The sequence below is a fragment of the Homo sapiens genome, chromosome X (genome assembly GCF_000001405.40).
Source record: "Homo sapiens chromosome X, GRCh38.p14 Primary Assembly".
NCBI lineage: Eukaryota > Metazoa > Chordata > Mammalia > Primates > Hominidae > Homo > Homo sapiens.
Genome location: NC_000023.11, coordinates 17,061,182 through 17,084,155, shown reverse-complemented (window position 1 = coordinate 17,084,155; position 22,974 = coordinate 17,061,182). Strand labels below are relative to the sequence as shown.

The 22,974-nt window shown below is 39.7% G+C and overlaps 1 protein-coding gene across 17 annotated transcripts in view; it reads right to left on the bottom strand.

Annotated features, from left to right (window-relative positions):
* Positions 1–22,974, bottom strand: part of REPS2 (RALBP1 associated Eps domain containing 2) — a 249,998-nt gene that overhangs the window by 112,500 nt on the left and 114,524 nt on the right. For 8 of the 17 annotated variants that reach the window (XM_017029956.3, XM_011545603.3, XM_011545604.3 and 5 more), the window contains 5 exons: positions 21,624–21,718; positions 15,685–15,754; positions 14,163–14,216; positions 9,997–10,042; positions 6,749–6,885 (listed from right to left, as the gene is read on the bottom strand). In XM_017029956.3, the coding sequence (XP_016885445.1) occupies positions 6,749–6,885; positions 9,997–10,042; positions 14,163–14,216; positions 15,685–15,754; positions 21,624–21,718 (402 nt within the window). The remainder of the gene's footprint in view (positions 1–6,748; positions 6,886–9,996; positions 10,043–14,162; positions 14,217–15,684; positions 15,755–21,623; positions 21,719–22,974) is intronic. The other 9 variants (XM_011545606.3, XM_024452479.2, XM_005274625.4 and 6 more) reach the window with 4 other exon arrangements.

Below are 22,974 nucleotides of genomic sequence, written 5' to 3'. Positions count from 1 at the left end.
TACAGAATTCCGGAATGGGCAAATCCATAGAAACAGAAAGTAAGTTAGTGGTTGCCAAGGGATAGAGGAAGAAAAGGGGGGAATGGGAATGATTGCTAATAGGTATGGGGTTTCTTTTGAGGGGGATGAAAATATTCTGAAATTACATAGTGCTGATAGTTATATATAACACTATGAATATACTAAATATCACTGAATTGTGCACTTTAAAAAGGTGAATTTTATAGTATATGGGTTACATCTCAATAACGCTTTCATTTAAAAAAAACAAAAAAACAAAACAAAACAAAAAAACTGCCCAGACTGCCAAATTGAACCCTTGGATAGCTGTGCACTGTGGGCCCAAAGGTTTGGGGTGGGTCAGGAATCCCATAGTCCTACCAGATTTTAAAAGAAACAAGTAGCACTCACAGGAAAAATACAGTAAGGAAATATATAAGGTCAGAGCTGCTTTTGTGGCCAAATTCATCTTTTAGAGAACCTGAAAGGTAAGTTTGGTATTAGGAACATCTCTTACTCCCAAGGAGTTTACCTACTTCTTAAGTTACAGAAACAAATATTCATTTATAGAAAACCGAGGAAAGACTTCTCAATTCGCCACTCAATAAACACAGCCACTTCCAAGTTAAGACAGAGCCCTTACCATGACGTTTTACCCAACTATACATCTCACAATGTAATCTTTGGGAGGTCCTCCAGAACTACTCCTCAGTGTTGGAAAGGCACTGAAATGGAATCTGAAGAACGCATCAGAGCTTAAAAGAGTGCTCGGGGCTGGGCGCAGTGGCTCATGCCTGTAATCCCAGCACTTTGGGAGGCTGAGGCGGGTGGATCATGAGGTCAGGAGATTGAGACCATCCTGGCTAACACGGTGAAACCCCGTCTCTACTAAAAATACAAAAAATTAGCAGGGCGTGGTGGCAGGTGCCTGTAGTCCCCAGCTATTTGGGAGGCCGAGGCAGGAGAATGGGCATGAACCCGGGAGACGGAGCTTGCAGTGAGCTGAGATCACGCCACTGCACTCCAGCCTGGGTGACAGAACGAGACTTCATCTCAAAAAAAAAAAAAAAAAAAAAAAGTGCTCGGAACATTTCTGTCATTTCAGCTGCATTCCAGGAGGTGGTAGCAGATGGTCATAAAGATACCCTGAATACAGAATCGTAGGGAAGATTGAGATAGGTAACCTCAGGCAGGAAAGACATCTCTGGTACTTTCAGATACCATCATTGCAGCTAAAGAGTGAAAAGCAAATTTTTTATAATAGGTGACATCTGTACATGAGCCAAAATTAAAAAGATACAAATAGGCATTCAACAGAAAGTAAGCTTGTTTCCCAGTCCTGTCCTCAGTCATACTGTTCCCCTTGCCCAGAAGCAACTATCATTACCAGTTTCTTTAGCATCATCCTGAAATTGTCTACACATTTATAAACATACACATTCTGCATCATACTTTTGTCACTTAATTTATCCGAGATAGCTCTCCATGTAGTATACGTGCCTGTTCTTTTTAACAGCTTCATACAATTCCATAGGATGGATGTACCATAGTCTCTTAACCATGGAATGAGTTGTTATTATCAGTATATCTAAAGCAGAGATAGGAAATTAGCTACCCATGGACAGACACTAGCCCTGGATGTGTTCTGTTCAGCCATCACAATGGTTTTAATGTGTGAATCTCAATGTATTTGGCCATATGGGATGTGGTTTTAAAAAAAAACAACTGACCATCAACATCCCCTTCTCCTTTTTTGCAGTAAGAAACGTATTTCTGGGAAATGGCTGCCCTGCCAAGGACTACATTTCCCAGCTGCCTGGCAACTAGGTCTATCCATGGGCCTAGGTCCCCCAGCTAGATTTGAGTGGAAATGATGAAAATGCCCGGTCTGAAACTTTAAAGGAATGGCTATGTCTCCTCCACACCATCTCTGCCCCTTCTGCCAGGCAGATGCTCAATGACTGGAACAAGGCAGAGCTAAGGCTTTTTACTGTCACCATGGAAACCTCAGGCTACAAACCTCAGGCATGGCTTTGAGAAGAGGCAGGTCTGAATCAAGAGTAGAAGAGAGGGGTAGTTCTTACTGACTCCGTGGACAGAAGAAACCCCTTTTTATGAAAAAAAAATTACCTCATGAAAATAACTGTTTCATTGAGGAAAAGGAGGTTAGGTACCAGCTTAGTGTGATTTTTCTTACAGGAATCTCAGTAATAAAAGATGTTTCATAGCTATAAATATAGAGACATAAAATCCAAACATCACTGAGCAAATTCCAGGTCTGACTGCCTCTAGGTTTTGCATACTTGCATTGTCACTGACTTAGACTTTCTTGCACATTTTTGCTATCTCTCAAACACAGCAGCTGTGTGGGACTGTGAGGCAATGGCTCCAAGAACTGGGTCAGCTATTACAAATGGTGATCTCCCTGTTACACACAGCGATCATAGTGTATCCGCTTCTCCTTATGAAAACACATGCCTCGGGTCTGATGCCAGTACCTAGAGAGCCCTGGAATCATCTAGGCTACTATAAATCACACATTCACACTCTCTTTACAGACACCAAAGTTGAAGCCAACTGTTCTATATTTCCAAAGTTGGCCTTATTCATTTTTATAGATTTACATTCTAAATCAGCCCTTTGTTCTTTTTCCCCATATCATGTTACCTATTTTCATAAATGTAAAGGCATTAATGCCACCTACTTCTAAGCTATTCCTTTAAATGCTGCTTGAATCCTACACCAAGAGTCTGTGGACTCTCCTTCCATTGGTTCTACAATTTTTTATTCTATTTCCTGCTTATTCCTTTGGATAAACATCATCACTCCTATGTAACAACCATCCCATCTTTCCCTTCATTTTCCTTTCATTTTTCTTTGCATCTTCTCTCCATCCTATTTCCTTTCCACACTATCACTCCACTTTAAGCCACTCTGTATCAGCACCTTAGCTTCAATCACTGCTTTTCACAATCCTGAGTCTCATTTTATTAAACAAGGGCTTCATTTTATCTTTCCCTTTCAACTCAAGTCCACATCTTGCTTCATCTCACATTATTTTCCCCTCTTTTCTTTACCTTTCCTTATTCTTCTATTGTCATAAACAGGGTGACCCAGGCAGTCTGTCTTAAGTGATAAAGTTGGCAGAAGGAGGGGATATGGGGGGCGGGGCTGGAGGGACAAGGAACAGCACAGCAGCAGGTGAGGTAGGCTTCCCCATGGCCACCCTCACATTCCCAAGTGCCTGACAGGAGGGAGGTCCAGAACGTAGGCAAAATGAAGAAGAAAGAAGTGGTCCCCGTGGTTAGGCAAAGAGAGATGTAGCAACAGAAGCTGGCCAAGCCTTCTGAGCAGGCAAATCATAAGAGAAGGAATATTTATGGCCAATAACAATACAAAAAGATTCTCAGCCTCACTAGGAATCAGGGACATGAAACTGCCTATTACACAGGTAATGATTAAAAAGATGAACATGAAGCAGTGTTGGCAAGATTGTGAGGAAACACTTTCAGACAGTGTTGATGATGGAGCAAGTTGACAGGTGTTCCACCTCACCCTTTGGCAACATATAGCTACACTTTAAACATCTACAGCCTTTGACCCTGCAACTCCAACCAGCAGGATTTAACCTAAGAAAATAATTAGATGATGAAACAAAGATACGGACATGAAATTATTAATAACCTCTGCCTCGTTTATATTATAAGAACAAGGTGGTGGTGTGGGGGAGCTTGGCAAGGGGAGAGTGAGGGGAGGCTCATACCTGTGAAGGAGTGATGGGGGAGAAGGACAAAAAGAGAAACAGAGGGGTATGAAGAGGACACGGGGGTCGGGGTGGAGAGAGAGAGAGGTTTGTTTGCAAGGGTGAGAAAGGAACGGGGGCTGGGGTCGTGGGGTGGTGGGTGAGCTTAAGAGGAAAGTATGGGGAAGAGAAAAGGCAGAGAGAAGAAGGGAGAGATCTCTCCATCAAAGCACAGTCAACCATGGTATATCCATATCATGCACACCTTAAAGGGAACGGTGCAATCCTCTATATGAAATAGAAAGATGGTTAATTGGAAAGATCAGGATACAGAACAGCAAGCATAGTGTGATCCCATTTATCTAAAGTGATACATAAAGATAAGTGCAGCAAAGGGATGCCTAAATGTACACCATGATTCTCAGTGAGTAGACTCTTCTGGTAGGTTTAAGCTCTATTTCATGCATTTCTAGTTTGTCAGCATTTCGATAATTTCTAGCAATATGCAATACACTAAAATTTTATATAATTTAGACAGACCCTTATACTTTTCTGTGAGAATTAACCAACATGAAAATAAATAAAGTAGATGCAATTATACCACCTGCTTTTCATACTGCAGAAATGTTCTATTCTTCATGTGATAAATTTAAACTGCTCATTAAAATTTCATCTGTATAAATTTGTACTGAAAAGACAATGGAATTAGGCTATGAACAGAGACATCACCCACCTAGCTATTATTTGTCTAAATCTTAGATTTATCAGGCCCTACCACAAGGGAGATCGTCAGGGCATTATCAAACCAAAATACTTTTCATCTTGAAGTCACATTGACACAGAGATATCAAAGAAAGCTGTCTTAATTCAGGTTTTCTCTAAAGAAGCCCCTGACATATGAACTTGAGAACAGGTATATTATTCGAGTGAGGGGAAAGTGAGACAGGGCAGGAGGGAAGCAAAACAAGAAAAAGTACATCAATGAATGGTGTACTACGGCAGGCAACTGGGGTTCAGTCCTTTTGCGAGCCTTCTGAGAAACTGGGTAGGAGGAATCACAGAATTGTCTGCTAGGGGTCAAGGAAGTCGGGGTGTTATCCTCCTCGGTGGAGGCTTGCCATTTCAGGCATTAAATTCTTGATACTTGCAGGCCACGGGAATATGGGCCTTACATGCTTACTAAGGCCTGTGGGCCAAATACAGTACTACAGGTTGAGTATCCCTAATCCCAAAAATCCAAAATCCAAAATGCTATAAAACCCTAAACTTTTTAGTGCCAACATGACACTCAAAGGAAATGGTCATTGAAGCATTTCAGATTTTTTTATTATATGCTCAATTGGTAAGCATATAATGCAAATATTCCAAAATCCAAAAATATCCAAAGCCTGAAACACTTGTGACCCCAAGTATTTTGGATAAGGAATATTCAACCCATATTTGGATTATGTTTATTATCTCACCAAAACCTTACAACTCCATGGAGTATTGGCTCTACTGTACAGATTAGGAATCTGAGATGCATAAACATTAAGCTACTTGCTGAAAATCAAACAGTGAATAAGCAGCTGAGCTGAGCTCCAAACCCAGTTTTGTCTCTTCCACTATGTGATGCAGTGTCGTAAAAACCACAGCATGTGAATTCTCCAGTACAGCTGGCATCTCCTTACTGGGTCACACAACCTGAGAGAGACCTGTGAGCATTTCCAGCCTCCCTTCTTGCAAGGTAAAGGTACTGAGATAGCTTCCCAGATTGTTTTAATTTTCTCGCATCCATAGGAAAATCTTCCAGGTCATAATCCGCCAGCCATGTGAAATTTTTATAGCATCATCACCTGTGGTTACTCCCACCCTACATACCAGTCACTATGAAATTTATGCCAGAATTCAGATCAAAGTATGAGAGGAAATTCAAGGCAAATTTTTGTCTGATGAACTCATGGCACAGAATTAAATTTGATAGAGAGTTCCAGATTTTAGTATATTAAAAAACAATCTATAACTTTACTGTGAGGAGAATACTTTATTAGAACAAATAAAACATGCTGAGCTCTGCCCAGACACAGAGGTCATGCTAATGTGTGAGCCAAGGAAAGTCTTTTCTTGCTTTAGCAGAAAAGATAATAATCTGCAAATCACTAGCATCTGAGGCTGGCCTGATTTAAAATGCACATAGATGGAGAAAAAGTTCCAGGAAATCATTGTATTTATAGCTTGCCTGCATGAGTCAGTGGAAAGGCCCTTGCTGCTCCCAAAATAACACTTGGGACAGCACCGTATCCTATCACCTTCACTAAAGCAAAGGCATGCCTCCCATCTTCTATTCCTTAGGTTCCTTAGGAGGGTATCTTCTACTTCACAGGAAGCCAAGGGAGCAGACAGGGCCCCTCTGGGCCTCCCCCACCTCCAGCCCCACTACACAACTGCGGGCTCAAGAACATCCCATCCCCAGAAGCCCAGAGCAGCCCACCTGAAGGAGCCCTTGCCCTAGGACCCTCCACCAACCACCCAACCATCAGTCAGATTCAGAGTCCCCTCAGCATTAAATCCTACAGGACACAGGATCTTCTCCATAAGTGTAAAATGCAGGAGAAGGTTCTGGCTAGGCCTTAATCTCCAAGATCTTTCATAGAAGACCACACAGGCATCTGAGGAAATGACAGACAGCGATCTATCTTGTTCACAAATTACCAATGATGCAGAGAGTAAGACCCCAGCCACACACTCAGCAGGCTGCATGGGAGTGAAGCATTTTTATCCTCTTGGTAGAGAATTTCCTAATTCTTGATCCATAACAAGTGTGGGCAAGGCTCCAGACACATGTGCTACATATGTGTCTAGAATTGCTTTCTCTCCCAAGAATACCATAGCCACGTGAAGACCTTCACGGAATGCGAAACTGCCAGGTCTGCTCTTTCTCCGGACTCACAGAGGCCACTGTGGCAGACACACATCCGCTGGCTCCAACAGGAAATGGAAGGGCTCAGGGGGCAAGGGGCACTTCACCTGGCACACTGGGCTGGAAGACTTTATTCAGATCCAAGGAGGAGGCTCTGGAATGGGTTTTCTGTGGCCGAGGTGGCGGGGTGGGAGGGTCCTCGCCCCTTTTCATGGCCTCTTCTATGGAGGTGCTAGAGTAAGATCTGTAGCAAAATAAGGGAAGGTCAGAAGCGAAATAGCAAAGCTTTACTCTCTGAAGTTGGGGTGAAATGGAAAATACCCACGAAGTCAAAGTGACTACAAAGAACCGATGAGCTACCAAAGCAGCCATAAATTCTATTACCCATTGAATGCCACTATGTACAATAATTGTCCAAATCCAACTATGAATTGGGATCTTTTCAACCTCTTTGTTCTTATTATACCTTAGATCTGAATCAACCCCCCAAAAAAAACTTTGTGTAAATTCAAATCCATTTCTATTGGAATTGTTAATAAGAATAATATGGAGCCCCTCAGCTTAGGCATTTCCATGTTCTAACAGAAGGGCTTCATGGTATTTCATGGTATAAACTGATCAGAGAACTTTTCTCCTGTTCACTTGCAAATGTGATGACAGGCTCATGTGGAATTGGGACAGATAAGCTGAGGGTAAGAATTCAATGTTCAGGGGAATATGCCACAAACGAAGCTGGGAAAGGAAAACACACATCAATCAGATTGAGGGGTCTAGCTTGTCTTTCCCTGAGAAAGCAAAAGTCTCATTTTCAACCTTCTTCCTCAATCTATAGCAAGGCATAATTAACTAGGCAACTTCTGAGATTGTAACTCTGGTAATATCATCTTTTTAAAAAGGAACTAAATAACTTGCAAAAGGTCAGATAGAAAGTTACACAGTTCGATTCAAACTCCAATCTCTGTTTCTATATCCCATTTTTAAAATGTTCTCATACTGCCTATGAGTTGGCGGGGGAATACTTTGGTGATAGCAACTAGAATATTTATTGGAGACCTACTTACTTTCCAAATAAAATTCAACTCCATACACTGCTTAGGAATAGGTTTAAGGACGGGTTCCCAATACGATGATCACGAAAAGGCCCTAAGATGTAGATGTATACATCTGTTTTATTTAGCTTCTCAACTAGCTTCATGTCAAAGCAGAAAACGACCTCTGAGTCAGAGGTACATCCTAGAGAGACAAATTAACCTCTGAAAACCTTCTTCGTACTTAGCTATTAGAGTGGCATTTATGAAGTTAGAATATATCAGTTACTATTAAACCCCTTCAGTTCTTGACAGAGCTGTTTTTGACATTGTGAGTTTTTATTTTCCTGAATAAATTTCTCAAGGATTCTTTGTGGTAGTTGAGGGTTCTGTCTGTCTTACAAGGTTGTAACTTTAATAAAGCCACCATAATGGCATGTGACGTGTTCTGGGGTGGTCCCTGTAACATAACTGGCAAGACAGGCAAGGCAGCAACAGGCAGAAACTAGCAGGGAAGAATGCTCTGGCTCTTTCAACAAGAATCAAAGGGAACTGATACGGAAGGACAAGGTTCTTAAATGGGAACACTTCACTTAAAAAAGACAATTAGAGACCCTAGCTAGAAATGAAAAGAGCTTTCTATGCCACATATAGCTTTAGTGACATCTTTCACTCAAAAAAGAAATAATGTGTGTGTAAATAATGTGTATGCGTGCACACTGTTAAGCACACAATCCCACAGCGCACATTCCTCATTTTCATTTTATTTTCATATATAACCTGTATGTTTATATCTTCATATGGAAAGTTACTGAATATAAAATAAGTGAGATTGTATAACCATGACTGCTGCAACCAATTAAAACATAAATGTGCAGGGAGTTAACAAAATGATGAATGCAGTGGTGTTAAAATGGTGATTTTCCCTCTTTCCCTTATATTTCTACAAAACTTTATTATTTCAAAAAGGAGGATAAAAACAATTCAATTCTCTTCTTCCCAGTGAGAAGTAATGAAAATAAAATCCTCCAAATTAGACCAAAAGCGCAATCTCTGAAAGGATAATATGTAAAATTTAGCCAGACACATTAATAACAGAACGTGTGGCTATGAGATTTTATAATTTCACTGGCTTTCAGGGAGAGAGGAAGTCAGCAGAAGCTAAAACTTTGAGGTTCGATTTATGGTTAACATAGTACACATAACAGATTTCTGCAATTCAAAGGCAATTCCTACTATGAAAGCATATCCCACAACTAGTACAGACTAGTTTGTAAAAGATCCATTCATCCTTTTACAAAGGATGAGTAAATGTGTTGACCACAGAAAGAATGCCTACACCTTTTCTTCCTACCTAAATGAATTACTCTATTGTTTTTAAATACACATAAATATAAAAATATAGATATCTGTATCTTACATAAACAAGGAAACAAAACCCCAATTTGGAAAATGCACATATAAACTAAAGGATAACTCTTTGACTTACAAAGAGATGAGGTTCCTTAAATATCAGTATTTCAAGCATATAAAATATGATCAGACTTAAATTTACTTTTTCAGGATTGTGTCTAGTAGGCAAAGGAGGGAAAAATGTCACTAACAGCCAAAGCAAAACAGAAAACACACACATGGTATCCTCGTTATCCTATCTTACACTGCAGTTCTACCAGTGAAATACAGTACCAATACCATTTCCCTTCCTTAATGGATTAATTCTATTAGTGTCTCTGTATTTCCCCTCTGCACCTCTCTTCTGAGTCTCACATCAACCACAGCTCTGCCTTACTGGCTTTCTCTCTTGTACTAGCCTCTTAAAAAATGTGAAGCTTACAGGGGCACTAAGATAGGCTCAAACAGACCATAAACATCGCTTACCTGAAACTGCAAGCTTCACTGAAGTTATCAGAAGCATTTTCTTTCCCTACTGTAGATTTTATTACCCAGACTTTTTACTTTTTGGTGTTCACCTTGTCATGATAGCAAATTTTCGTGTCTGTTACCTTACCCATATTTTCCTCTTTCCAAAGCTACTTCCCCCTATAAGTTATCATCTTGCAACAACTGGGTTGTCTCACACAATCCACTTCACGTTGAGGGGCCGTAGGGCATTCATGGTCACCTTCTAGCACTAATGACCACAGAAACCAAGGCTCCCAGCATTACTGCATGTTCCCATCAGGCCATGCACGAGCGAAATGGCTCATATCCTAAGCTTTACATCTAAAGGAAGAGGAAATCATGGGTTGGGTTTTGGTTTGTGGTTCTTATTTCTAGGCAGGGGCACGGCACAAAGGGCATTAAAGCAGAAATTAAACGAACACTACCTGGATCTTGGTCTTGCTTTGAGACTGTTGGAATCCTTGGGAGTTGCTGAAACAAAGATATTGCTTGGGTTTCATTTCTGCAGTTAAACAAGTTTATATGCAGCACCTGGGCTAGTACAGAACACATCAACAGGTAAATGTGAGGTAAAAGTGCCCATGTGGAGAACTGGACGGCTCCCACATTTTCATGATTTCCTTGTTTTATTTCAAAATCTAAAGAAACGATTAAAAGGAAAGAAAAACCAGCATATTTTTCCTTTGGTCAAGCACTATTTGAGAGGCCATTCTCAAATCCAAGTTAATTAATGAAGACATTCCAGTATAAAAAGACAACCCCCTTGAAAGGGGGTTGTCTTTTTATATAATGATGGATTCACACTTCAGGGTTTCTTGTTCTATCATGATAGTCTAGTAATAGATTTTGAACTAGTCTACCCTGAAGGATAGGAAGAAGTCTATCTAACTACACGTTTTAAAAAAAAAAAAATACACTACCAGAGCAGCATGGCCACAAAAAAACAAAGCTCTCACAAGTAAGTGGAAATGAGCTATACAGCTTCTCCTGTAAGAAAATATCCTTGTGTCCCACATGTCTGTGACCAAATCATACAGAGAATTATGAACAATATCGCTGAATCTTTTCCCAGCCATATGACTTTTCCTCATCAAATTTAAATCATAAACTAACTTGCTCACTACCAACGCCCATACAGCCTTCTTCCCCATCACAAGTTGTGAGGAGTAATTAGAAACATTTACAAAAACACTGATCCTCTTTTTATGCTTTCAATCCTCTATGGAAGACAACTTTAGGAACCAGTAGCTATGCTCAGGTGTTACAAACATTGCAAATTTTTCATCATAAAATGTCATAAAAAATCATAGAAAAGGTGCTAGTAACACAGAACAAGAAGAATGTAATTTCTTTGTCTGCATGAATTCTTCCAAAAAGAAAATGTCTCACTGCATTATCTCATCCTCTTTTACATTGCTCCAAAGATAAAAACCCTCCTTGGTATGAAGCAGCCTGAATTTATGATGATCATTAAAATCCTTGGGTTAGATAACAGGACAGAGAGGGGAGGTGAAAATCCTCATAAATGCTAACAAGGCACAAAGCAAACTACTGGTCAGCTGCACAAGAGATACACTTCTCCCAACCCAAGCATTTTGGCTTGTTGTAGTGAGAACACAGAGATCTTCCAACTTCAAACAGCTGAAACGCTGCCAGAGTGCAGGAAAGCCTGGAAAGCCCAAGGAGTTTGAGTCCCCTTTTGCCCATTATCGTGCACCCACACCTGGATATAGACAGAAAAAGACCTCCCTCCCTCCTACAAACCCCAGGCAGCAAAGAAAGCGACCTCAGGAAGCCTCTCTCCCAGCTCAGGAGGCTGCCTTGGGGCTGGGTGGACAGAGTGGACCAGACTCACCACAGAGCTGGGGAAGCCCTCTACGCAGGCTGCCTGCAGCTGGCTCCGTGGCCCTCTTCTCCCTCAGGCCCCACTGCTTTCAAGAAATACATGGGTAGGAGAGGTCCCCGCCATGATAAAATACTGTTCCCCAAATCAGACCATGGTGACTGTTAATTCCTTTGTCAAGTGCCATTATCTTTGTCTTTTTGCTGGTAGGGATGGGTGTGGAAGGAGGGGTGAGCCCTGCTGGTAAGAGATAGACAGACAGACAGATGGGGTGAGGGTGTGGATGAGTAGTGGAGAGACAGGACTAGAGACCAGGCCAGGAGTCCTGAGACTAAGGCCCTCCTCCTGGCCATGACACTAACTAGCTGTTACTTCCCTGAACCTCAGTCTCCTCACCTAGAAAACAAAGGCAATAAAAATGCAGTTTCTTTCTCACAGGGACAGATAAGGTGAAAGTAATTTAAAAACTGAACGTACTTTAGAATTGCAAAATATTACTATTGTAGAGTGCATAAATAAAGGCTCCTAATTTTTTAAGCCTGGAAATCTGGTTTCTAAATTTAGTTTCTTCTAGGACAGCAAAGGAGGTGCAGGTAGGAGCAGGTAATGGAAGGACAGAACTGCTCTACTCCAATAAAAACATGGGGTGATAGTTGGCAATGGAGCAGCTGCTAGAATCACCAACAACAGTCTAAAGACAGCACTGTGAGGGTGAACCAGCTGAAAACACCTCAACATGGGCCAGAAACATCAAGAAAAAGACCACCATTGTGCATGGTGCTCTGCTGAATTAGGTTGGAATGGGATATTGGTTTAAAAAATCTCTTAAGGCTCCACTAACATAGACACTCTCAGCAATTACAACAAGTGGATCATAGCTTCTCGTGTAGCTGGAAAGAGGGAAAAGGACTGCCACCTTCCTAGAACACTCAAGGCATGTCATCTTTCCAGGAAATGGGAATGGAAAGAGGAGCAGGCCTAGAGATTAACCCTCCAAAAAGCAGCAACTGAACTGAGGTCCACATGGCAAGGACAGCCATCCAGAATTCTAAATCACCACCTTGAAACGCTTGTGTCTCCCACTGGGAATCCAAACATTTCCCAGAAAAGGAGGGATTAACTATGTTTAAGATGAGGAACTCCCTCATACCCAGAGAGGGGCAGTAGTGGGAAGAACAAATCAGAAAACACATAGCATGCTGCCAGGCACAACGAGAAATCAATTCCGACATACTTCTCATGCTGTGGCACACCTGACAAGTTTTATTTGGTGATGCCATGTCCTAGTCAATGAAGGAATGTTAAAAATGAGATCTAAAGCTCATGCCCCAGAGGACACTTGATCTTGTGCTAAAATCCCTTAAAAAAAAAAAAAAAAGTAGGAAAAGTTATGATCCTCAAAGGCTGTTGGAGAAGCACCAATTTAACACTCCAAATTTAAACAGCTTTTACTAATACTACAACATGAAGTTTACAAAAACTGGAATGCATCCACTTTAGCTCCAGAAATAAGAGCTAGAAAGAACTGACCCCAGGCGTTGGCCTACATTAACAGAGCATTTCACCCAATAAGGAATGAATTCAAATCTGTTTCAAGAGTCAAAATTAAGCTTGGGAATTCCCATCACTTTTGGAGTCATGGTTGATCTATAACCTTAATTTTCTATTTTGTAGCATCACCTTCCAGAGCTGGTGGTTCCCAAAATAGGCTATGTACCAGAACCAACTGGGGAGCTGCCTAAAAATACACCTTCTCAGGCTTCCATAATTGAAATTCATCATCCACATTCATTCATATTTATTCTCATTCTCATGTTCTCTCTCTCTCTCCTTCCCCCTACCATATTTTTCTCCCACTCCCCCAACTCCTTCCTCTCCCTCCACCCATCTCTCTTTGAAACTCTGAATGAACTTGACATTTGGAAAATATTGTACCACAGCATAAGCCTCAACATTATATTGATTCCTCTGTTCCAATGTTCAACAAATAAGCCTAGGATGATAGCTAGCTTATCACAACAAACATGATTGACTTATTAAAAATATACAAGAAATAAAACAGCAAAAGAGAAAGCAACAACTTTTTTCATGTCCTTATAACTAGAGCTCCAAATAGTAATGTCTTCTGTAGCCACTTTGTTTTTAACTAGATTCAACTTGGTTCAATGATGGCTCCATCAACAGAGAGCTGCGGACACAGGGGCAGCCATTCTCCATGACTCCACAGACACAGGTCTGACTCTCCAAAAAACTGGACAACTTTTATTTTTCTCCTTGGAATCCACTCCATATATAAGCACATATAGTTGCCTTCCTGGTGGTGAAGCATAATAAAAATATTTGAGATTTCTGCTTTGGAAATGGAAAATACCAACTCTGGGCCTCCAATTGATCTACCCTATAAGTTCCTTACTCTACACAAAACCCAAAATGGCTTGTTGAAATCATCTCAACCTCAAGCCTTCTCAATTTTGCACTTAGTAACAAGACCCTATATTCACACGGAGTGATCCTTCGTGATCCTTTCAGTGAAACTTAAAAACTTGAAAAGATATCACCCCGTTCTCATACCTGAAAAGAGAGAAAGGGTAAAAAGCCAAAAGGTTTCCTTGTAATAAAATACAAGACAAATAAATAGAGAGAAACAGACACACTATCACAGAGGTATCAATCTTCTACTCACTGACTTGCTGTTTTTTTATTTTAAAATAATTATATATAAAGTATACAAAAATGGTTTTCTCCTACCTGGATCCTCAGACACGTCCTTTGGTAAGGCTTCATTGATAGTACTTTTCAAAGCTAGTTGTGTTTTGTTTTTTAAGCAAAAAGAAAGAGAAAAGAGGAAAAAAAATTAAAACTATAAAATGTTATTTCTGAGGCAAATTGGATTCAAACAAAGAATCGCTAGTCATCACTTACAAAAACAGGTCTCACAAACCTCTAAAAGTTGCTATAGCATTTACTAAAACAATAAAGACCTCCTGGAGTATGGAAATAGGTTCTCCTTCTACAAAGAGCAAAGATGTATTTTCAACTTTCCAGAGACAGCACCTCAAGCAGATAGGAGAAGTATTACCAGGAAGTATTGGGAGTTTCTCCCTCTTTCATTCCTGACACCCAGACTGATGACATGAGAATCCCTGGGAGTGAAATCCAGGCTTCAATATTTTTACAGTTTGCCCAGTTATTCCACTGTGCAGTTAGGAGAATGGTCAGAGTACACGCTACTGCAGACAATGTCCAGTTCTACCTGTCTCTCCCAAGCAAGTATTTAAATAGAGAACATGCAATTACTGTCACTTAATGGAAAACTTATTTTTCATGTTAAGCCCCCATACAATGCCTAATCAATGGCAGGCCTTAACAATAAAACCTGAAATAGCTTCACTGATTTTTAGTCCCTTCAAATAAGCCTCTCATTCATGGGTAGTAAATCAATATCAAATAACAGGCAGAATACTGGCTTGAGGCTTAGAAAAAATCTTGGTTCTTGTCCCAAATCTTTTTCTTAATAACTAGGCAAATGATTCATAGTGTCTGAATTTCAGTTTACTCATCTCTAAATTTCAGGTGATAAAACTTACCAGCCTCCATTCAGTTTTGTGAGGACTGAATAAGACAGTATATGAGCAAGGACCTGGTAGATTATAAAGCACTATACAAAGTATAGGAGGTGGGGGAGAGGGTCCCTCCCACACTTCTAGATATTCCCAAGCCAACTCTTCCCTGGGAGTAGCTCTAACACGGAATGCTGTGCTGCACTGCTTCTCAGCTGCCCAGTAAGATAGGAAAATTGTAGCTGGGCTCCATGTCACACTCCCACACTCACAAAGCCAAGAAACAGATAAACACTAAGGACAGAAGCTGTGTCCAGAAGAGAACTTCCTCATGGATTAGAGCTGTATGCAAATGTGCATTTACACTGATGTCTGGGATCACATCCGCAAACACAACATGTTCTCAATTCGTTCAGCTTCCTGTCATTTCCTAATTGCTACGATCAGATTCCAGTGTAAGGTGTTAAGAGTAGGCTGAGGGTCAGCAATGACTAAGGGGCCAATGAGTTGGAAGACTCTGGACACTCAAGCTCTTGCTACCACTTTGTGAACTATTGTTTTATGACAATGATTTGAACTACTTAGTCTATCCAAATGTGTTTACATGCTGAGAACCACCCTCATATGCTCTAGAAGCCACCATTCCAAGAGGAGTAGATAAGGTAACAGGTAGAACGCTGGTTAAAGAAGAAAACTCATTCTTCTCCTACCTTGTTTGTCATCACTAGTTACATCCTGGTTAGGGACAGGAAGGTCAGCCATGTCTTTAACAGATGTCTTCTTTGAAAAAGAAAAGTAAATGAATTAAACTGGTTGGAACAGAAATTAAGTGATGCGCACATATGATGAAAAAAAATTTTTTTTTTTTGAGACAGAGTCTCGCACTGTCGCCCAGGCTGGAGTGCAGTGGCGCGATCTCGGCTCACTGCAAGCTCCACCTCCCGGGTTCACACCATTCTCCTGCCTCAGCCTCCCGAGTAGCTGGGACTACAGGCACCCGCCACCACGCCTGGCTAATTTTTTGTATTTTTTAGTAGAGAAGGGCTTTCACTGTGTTAGCCAGGATGGTCTCCATCTCCTGACCTCGTGATCCACCCGCCTCAGCCTCCCAAAGTGCTAAGATTATAGGCGTGAGCCACCGCGCCCAGCCGAAAATGTCTTAAAAGCTATTATTTCTTGCCACCATTTCCATCTGCAGTAAACCCTGCATTTAATACTACCTTATTTTTTTTAGGTTCCTAGTGAGGTATATGTTAATTTGTATTGAAATTTTACATACACAGAGGAAAAAAATGATTCAGATTAAGGCACATGTATTAAATCTGAATTCAGACTGGGATTCAGCCACAGAATTGCATAGCAACTCTGGTCCATTTGGCCAAGAACAAACCTGTTCTTTATGTATTTTTTCACAAACACAAAGAAGTTCTGACAAGTGGCCCCACAATGTGGGTGTTTGCCAAGATCTGTCATGCAGATGGTGTCTAAACCTGATTAAACCAGCCTTCTTGTTGTGGGATAAAAGAATTTTACTGATGAGCAGATTAAAATTTTCTCCTAATGCAAACAGGGGGGAAGTCCTCACACTAATATGAATACCCAAATCTATCAAGTATGAATTAGTTTTAAACCGTTTAAAATCTACTTACTGTAAATTTACTTCTTGTAAATTCTCAATTTAACACACATTCTAACTATAGTTAATAACAATGTATGGTATACTTGAAAACTGCTAAGGGAGTTGATGTTAAATGTTCTCACCACACCAAAAAAAGGTAACTATGTGAGAGGTGACAGGTATGTTAACTAGCTTGATTGCAGTAATCATTTCACAATATATACATAGATGAAAACATCATAAATATATATTTTTTGTCAATTATACCTCAAAGCTGGAAAAGAATATGCACTCTAATGCCTATAAGATTAAGTTCAAGAATAATATATATTCACATTTGCTTTATTTATATACACAAACTCTGGAAAGATATGTAAGAATTGAAAGGTGAGTTGGTAGATGGGAGGAAGACTTGTCAACATATGTCTTTTGATATTGTTTATATTTAAAACATAGTCACAAATTAAATAAAGATAAATTGTAACATTTATCTTGAAGGAAGGAGAGTAAATGCCTGGAGCCATCTGGTGTTCCAAAAAGTTAATTGGTTTACCTCTCAGAACCTAAACAACCCCAGAGAGATAAGCAATACTTTTGTTTTTAAACTGTTCTGAAGAAAGAGACTGAAGTATTACTCAGTAGAAAACTGGTCTAAGATTTAACAGTCTTCACTCAGGTAATTCTTTTTTTTGAGATGGAGTCCTGCTCTGTTGCCCAGGCTGGAGTGCAGTGGCACAATCTTGGCTCACTGCAACCTCCACCTCCCAGGTTCAAGTGATTCTCCTGCCTCAGCCTCCTGAGTAGCTGGGACTACAGGCATATGCCACCACGCCCGGCTAATTTTTTGTATTTTTAACAAAGACAGGGTTTCACCGTGTTAGCCAGGATGGTCTCAATCTCCTGACCTCGTGATCTGCCCACCTCGGCCTCACATAGTGCTGGGATTTACTCATTAAAACGAAGTATCCAGATATAATTTTCTATTCAAAGTCTACTATCTCCAATAGAACAGACAATGTATCATAACAGTGCATTTCTTTCATTGTCTTTTCCCACCTGCATTATAAATCAGGCCCCTTTGGAGAATAACATAATTTAGAAGTAGGCAATGTAGATAAAAAGAAATCTCAAAAAATTGTTGAAAGAAATTAAATATCTAAATAAATGGAAAGACATCTCATGTTCATGAGTTAGAAGACTTAATATTGGTAAGGTGGCCATACTCTCCAAACTGATCTACAAATTCAATGCAATCTTTGTCAGAATTTGGCAAGCTTGTCCTAAATTTCATATGGAAATGCAAGGAAGTCAGAATAGCAAAATATTCTTGAAAAAGAAGAAAAAAGTTAAAGGATTCACACTTCTTGATTTCAAAACTTACTACAAATCTAAAATTATCAAGACACTGTGGTACTGGCATAATCATAAACATATAGATCAATAGAATAGAACTGAAAACCCAGAAATAAACCCTTACATCTATGGTCAGTTGATTTCCAACAAGGGTGCAAGACAATTCAATGGGGAAAAAAACATCTTTTCAATAAATGGTGCTGGGACGACTAGAAATCCACATACAAAAAAATAAAGTTGGACCTCTTCCTCAGAACATACACAAAAATTAACTCAAAATCACACACCTAAATGTAAAGGTCTAAAACTATAAAACTCTCAGAAGAGGCCAGGCTCAGTGGTTCACGCCTGTAATCCCAGCACTATGGGAGGCCGAGGTGGGTGGATCACAATGTCAAGAGATCAAGACCATCCTGGCCAACATGGTGAAACCCCGTCTCCACTAAAAATAGAAAAATTATCTGGGCTTGGTGGCACGCACCTGTAGTCCCAGCTACTCAGGAGGCTGAGGCAGGAGAATTGCTTGAACCCGGGAGGCAGAGGTTGCAATGAGCTGAGATCACGCCACTGCACTCTGGCCTGGTGACAGAGCGAGATTCCGTCTCAAAAAACAAAACAAAACAAAAAAACAAACAAACAAAACTCTTAGAAGAAAACATGGAAGTACATCTTCGTGATTTAATATTAGGCAATGGTTTCTTAGATATGATGCCAAAAGCACAAGAACACTTACAATTCAATAGACAAGTAATGCAATTTTAAAATGGACAAAGGACGAGACACTTGGCGAAAGAAGATATACAAATGGCTAATAAGCACACAAAAAGATGCTCAACGTCATTAATCATTAGGAAACTCAAATCAAAACCACAATGAGATACCACTTCATTCCACTAGGGTGTCTAAAATCAAAAAGGCAGACAATAAGTGTTAACAAGGATGTGGGAAAATTGGAACCCTCATACACTGCTAGTGGAAGAATGTAAAATAGTATAGTTGCTTTGGAAAGCAGTTTGGTGGTTCCTCAGAAAGTTAAGTTATGATACAATCCAACAACTCCACTCCTAGGTATACACTCGAGAGAACCGAAAACACACACCCACACAAAAACTTGTACATCTATGTTCATAGCAGCATTATTTACAATAGCCAAAAGTGGAAGCAATGCAAATGTCCATCAACTGATGAATGGACAAACAAAATGTAGCATATCCATACAATGCAATATTATTCAGCATTAAAAAGGAATGAAGCACTGATACATGTTATGATCTGAGTGAACCTTGAAAACATTATACTAAGTGAAAGAATACGGTCACAAAACACTACATACTATATGCTTCCATTTATATGAAATGTCCAGAATAGGCAAATCTAGAGACAGAAAATAGACTAGTGATTATCAGAGGCTGGCAGAGACAGTGGAATAGGAAGTGACTGCTCATGAGTATTGGGTTTCTCTTTGGGCTGATGATGTTCTTCTAAAATTAAACTGTAGAGATGGTGGAACAACTGTTAATATAATAAAAATTACTGAATTGTATACTTTAAATGGGTATGGTATGTAAAGTCTCTATCAATAAAGCTGTTTAGAAAAAGAAAGAAATCCAGTAATGTAAGAGACACTCATAAAAAGAAATATACTTGAAATTATCATCTGTAATTCTTAATGGAAATAAGTACATGGCTAACAGCTCTGCTGTCTTTAGAAAAAGATGTATCACTAAGCCAATTTCTCATGACGTGAGACCTAAATCAGCTGCAGCTTTGTTCAGAACACAACCACCTATACTGGAGTCATCGATCACAGGGCTGGTTCCAAAATCTAATTAAACTCCATGCATTCATGATAGATTAAAAGACTAGTAGAAAGAACAATCAGTAATAGTTTAGAAGAACATGAAATATTGAATCATTATTGCAATCTGACCCGTACTTCTTAAATGAACAAACCATCAATAAACCCTATTACTTTGTCCTTGAATTCTGTTTACTGCATTCATTGTCTAAAACCATAGCATCCTCAAAAATAACAATTTGGTTGGAAAAGAGGGGATTTTTTGTTGTTGTTTTGCTTTCTTCTTTGGATAGGGCAAAAAAAAAAAAAAGACTAGGTAGTTTTTAATCTCCCCTCCCCAAGGAGGCCACTTAAAGTATGCAAAAGTATATAAAACTAGCTGCATATAAAATCCACAAAGGTGAATATATGTAACGCCATCCAGGACATTAGAGAGAGAGAAAGAGCAAGCGAGAGAGACTGTGTGTGTGTGTGTGTGTGTGTGTGTGTAACAGTAAAACAGACGTGTGCATGTGTAACAGATTTTATGGCCGTTTTAAAGAAGACCAACTAATAACTTCATCATTTTATGCAAGCAGGGGGCCCATCACACACACACACACACATAGTCAGAGAGCCATAGATGTATCCATCCTGGCTTGATAAACAAAGCTCTTTAAACACTGCTAGAAGCCCCAAAGTAAACTGAGGGCCATGAAAAGTGGCAAACTATTTTATCTCTCTCTTTGTCATAAGCATTCTGCAGAAAAAAAAAATTTTAACCAAAATTCTTCAAATGCACATCTGTCATTCCTCCTGAAGTGACTTTTCTTTATGTCTTTTTCCCATGAGTAGAAATCTGAGGAAAGTACCATGGAGGACACAACTCAAAGAAAGAGAAGCAAAATGGCAGAGAGATGTTAGTCAGAGGGGCACTGGAAAGGCAGGCTTGACTGGCTCACAGGGGAGCAGACGGTGCCATCCATAACACATGCTACAGGCATGAGGGCCTCATGTGAGAGAATAAATCATCATGCACAGTCACAAGAAATTAAAGAAATGTCCCTGTTCCCTGACTTTGACTTCTATCATCTTGCAGTGGTTTCAACTAGGGTCAGAGGACTCTAATAGTCTCTGACTATTATGGAGTCTGTGAATAAAGCTCCATTTATTAAACATTTCCAGATCTTTTAAGGAAGGGAAAAGCAGGTATCCTAAATTGTCATCACAGTAATCATAATGGTGATGATGATGATAATGACAATGGTGATGACAACAATAACTATAACAACTCCTATTTATTGATCCATAGCTAAGGCTTCCTAAGCACTTGGCTAAGCCCTTCCATCCATGGCCCAACACTGGGGGAATTCTCCAAGTTCCTTCTGGGGATCATCCAAATCAGTCCTCATTTGGTTCAAAAGCTAAAAACCCTGAGGGAGTTCCGAATGTGATTTGGGGCCCTCATATAAAGTTCTCAAACCTCTTCTCAAAACAGTTCTGATTCAGTATAGCTTATTAATGCCCAACTGATAAAAATAGAATCAAAATTGTTTACTAGGGAATTAAAGCTTGGTTAAAGTAAATAACTTGGCTAGAATTTTCTGTCTTAGTTTGGCTATATCTACATTTCACATCTAGAAGGTCTAGAGATTATGTTACTTACTTTACCACATCCAGTTTTAGGGAGAAAAGGGAAAAAAATTATAGATACATCTGGTGTCTAGATCTGAAAGGCTGAGCATCAAAGTATTAATAATTACCAAGTATGAAAAGGAAATGTTATAAAAGCTCATTTTCAAACAAAAAAAAAGTTCATTTTCCAGAATTTGTAAAGAACATAGGCCAATGGATTTAGCTCCATACACATCCTTATTTATTAGCATATGAAGATCTTTTACCTCCATCCGATTCAAGTCACGAGGTTGTTGATTTGCCGGCAGTGACTCAGAATAAGAATCAAATAATTGACAGTCCCATTTGGGCTTAGGAAAAGCTAAGAAGAAACAAAAAGAATATATCAGAATATTTCCTATAGCCATAGTAATCAGTGTTTCCCATCAGCTTTTCTGTGCTTGTTAAATATAACAACAAAATCAGCTAGCTCTGATAGACCACATATGGCATTCATCATGCTGAGGTAGTACTTTCAGTTCTTTATATGGACAACCCAGTACTTCTATTATCCCCATTTCACATGTGATGAAACTGAGAACAGGGCAACTTACTCAAGGTCATACAGCTGATAAATGGAAGAGCAGGGACTTGAACTCTCAGCAGTCTGGCTGAAGGGTATGTGCTCTGAACACTTCATGTTATAGCATAGTAATTTTCCACAATAACCATCACTATCACAATATGTAAGTCTTAACTATGTTACTAGTGTAGTTTCTAATGTATAGGGACATTAACTAAGGAAATACATCATTTAACTATTGTTAGAAATAGGCAAGATCTTATAATGATGTGCACCCAACATGATTTTACGAAATATTTATCTCCTTGGTTGGCAGGAATGATAAAAATAAGAGCATAAATTCTTGCTGATTTACAACAAAGAAAAAAAGAATCACATTAAGGGTTTCTTTCAATATGCAATAGTGACACTGGCTGTTATTTCGGTAGTTGAGTGAATTCACACGAGGAAAGATCAGGCTACTTGGTAAGCTAATTACTTCACACCAGGCTATGTCTTAGAAGCGGATTCTGCTTCACTACTTTGTCACAAAGTAATTAGGAAAGAAATATCTCAACAGCTAGAAAATTTGTCAATATTCCAAAGAGGAAAAGCAGACTGTGGCAGATAATAAACAGAAGCTACAAATCAAATTTGTCACAACAAGCTATTAGGAAATAAAATTGTAATGCAAGGTTTAAAAAAATTTGAATCAAATGTGAAAAGTGGATTGGCATTGTTTTTAATCCTTCCCCACCCTCCCACTCCCATCAGGGACTGAAATGCCAATATCCTTCTGCAGTAAAGTACTGGCCATTGGCCAGGCATGGTGGCTCACACCTGTAATGACAGCACTTTGGGAGGCCAAGGCAGGAGGATTGCTCGAGCCCAGGAGTTTGAGACCAGCCTGGGCAACATAGTGAGACCCTGTTTCATCTGTCTTTGTATCTACCTACCTACCTACCTACGTGTCTATCTAATTTAAATAAATACATACATGCATACATACATACAGTAAGTAAGTAAGGAAGTACTGGTCTGAGTATCAGCACCACATGGAGTTGAGTACAAGCACC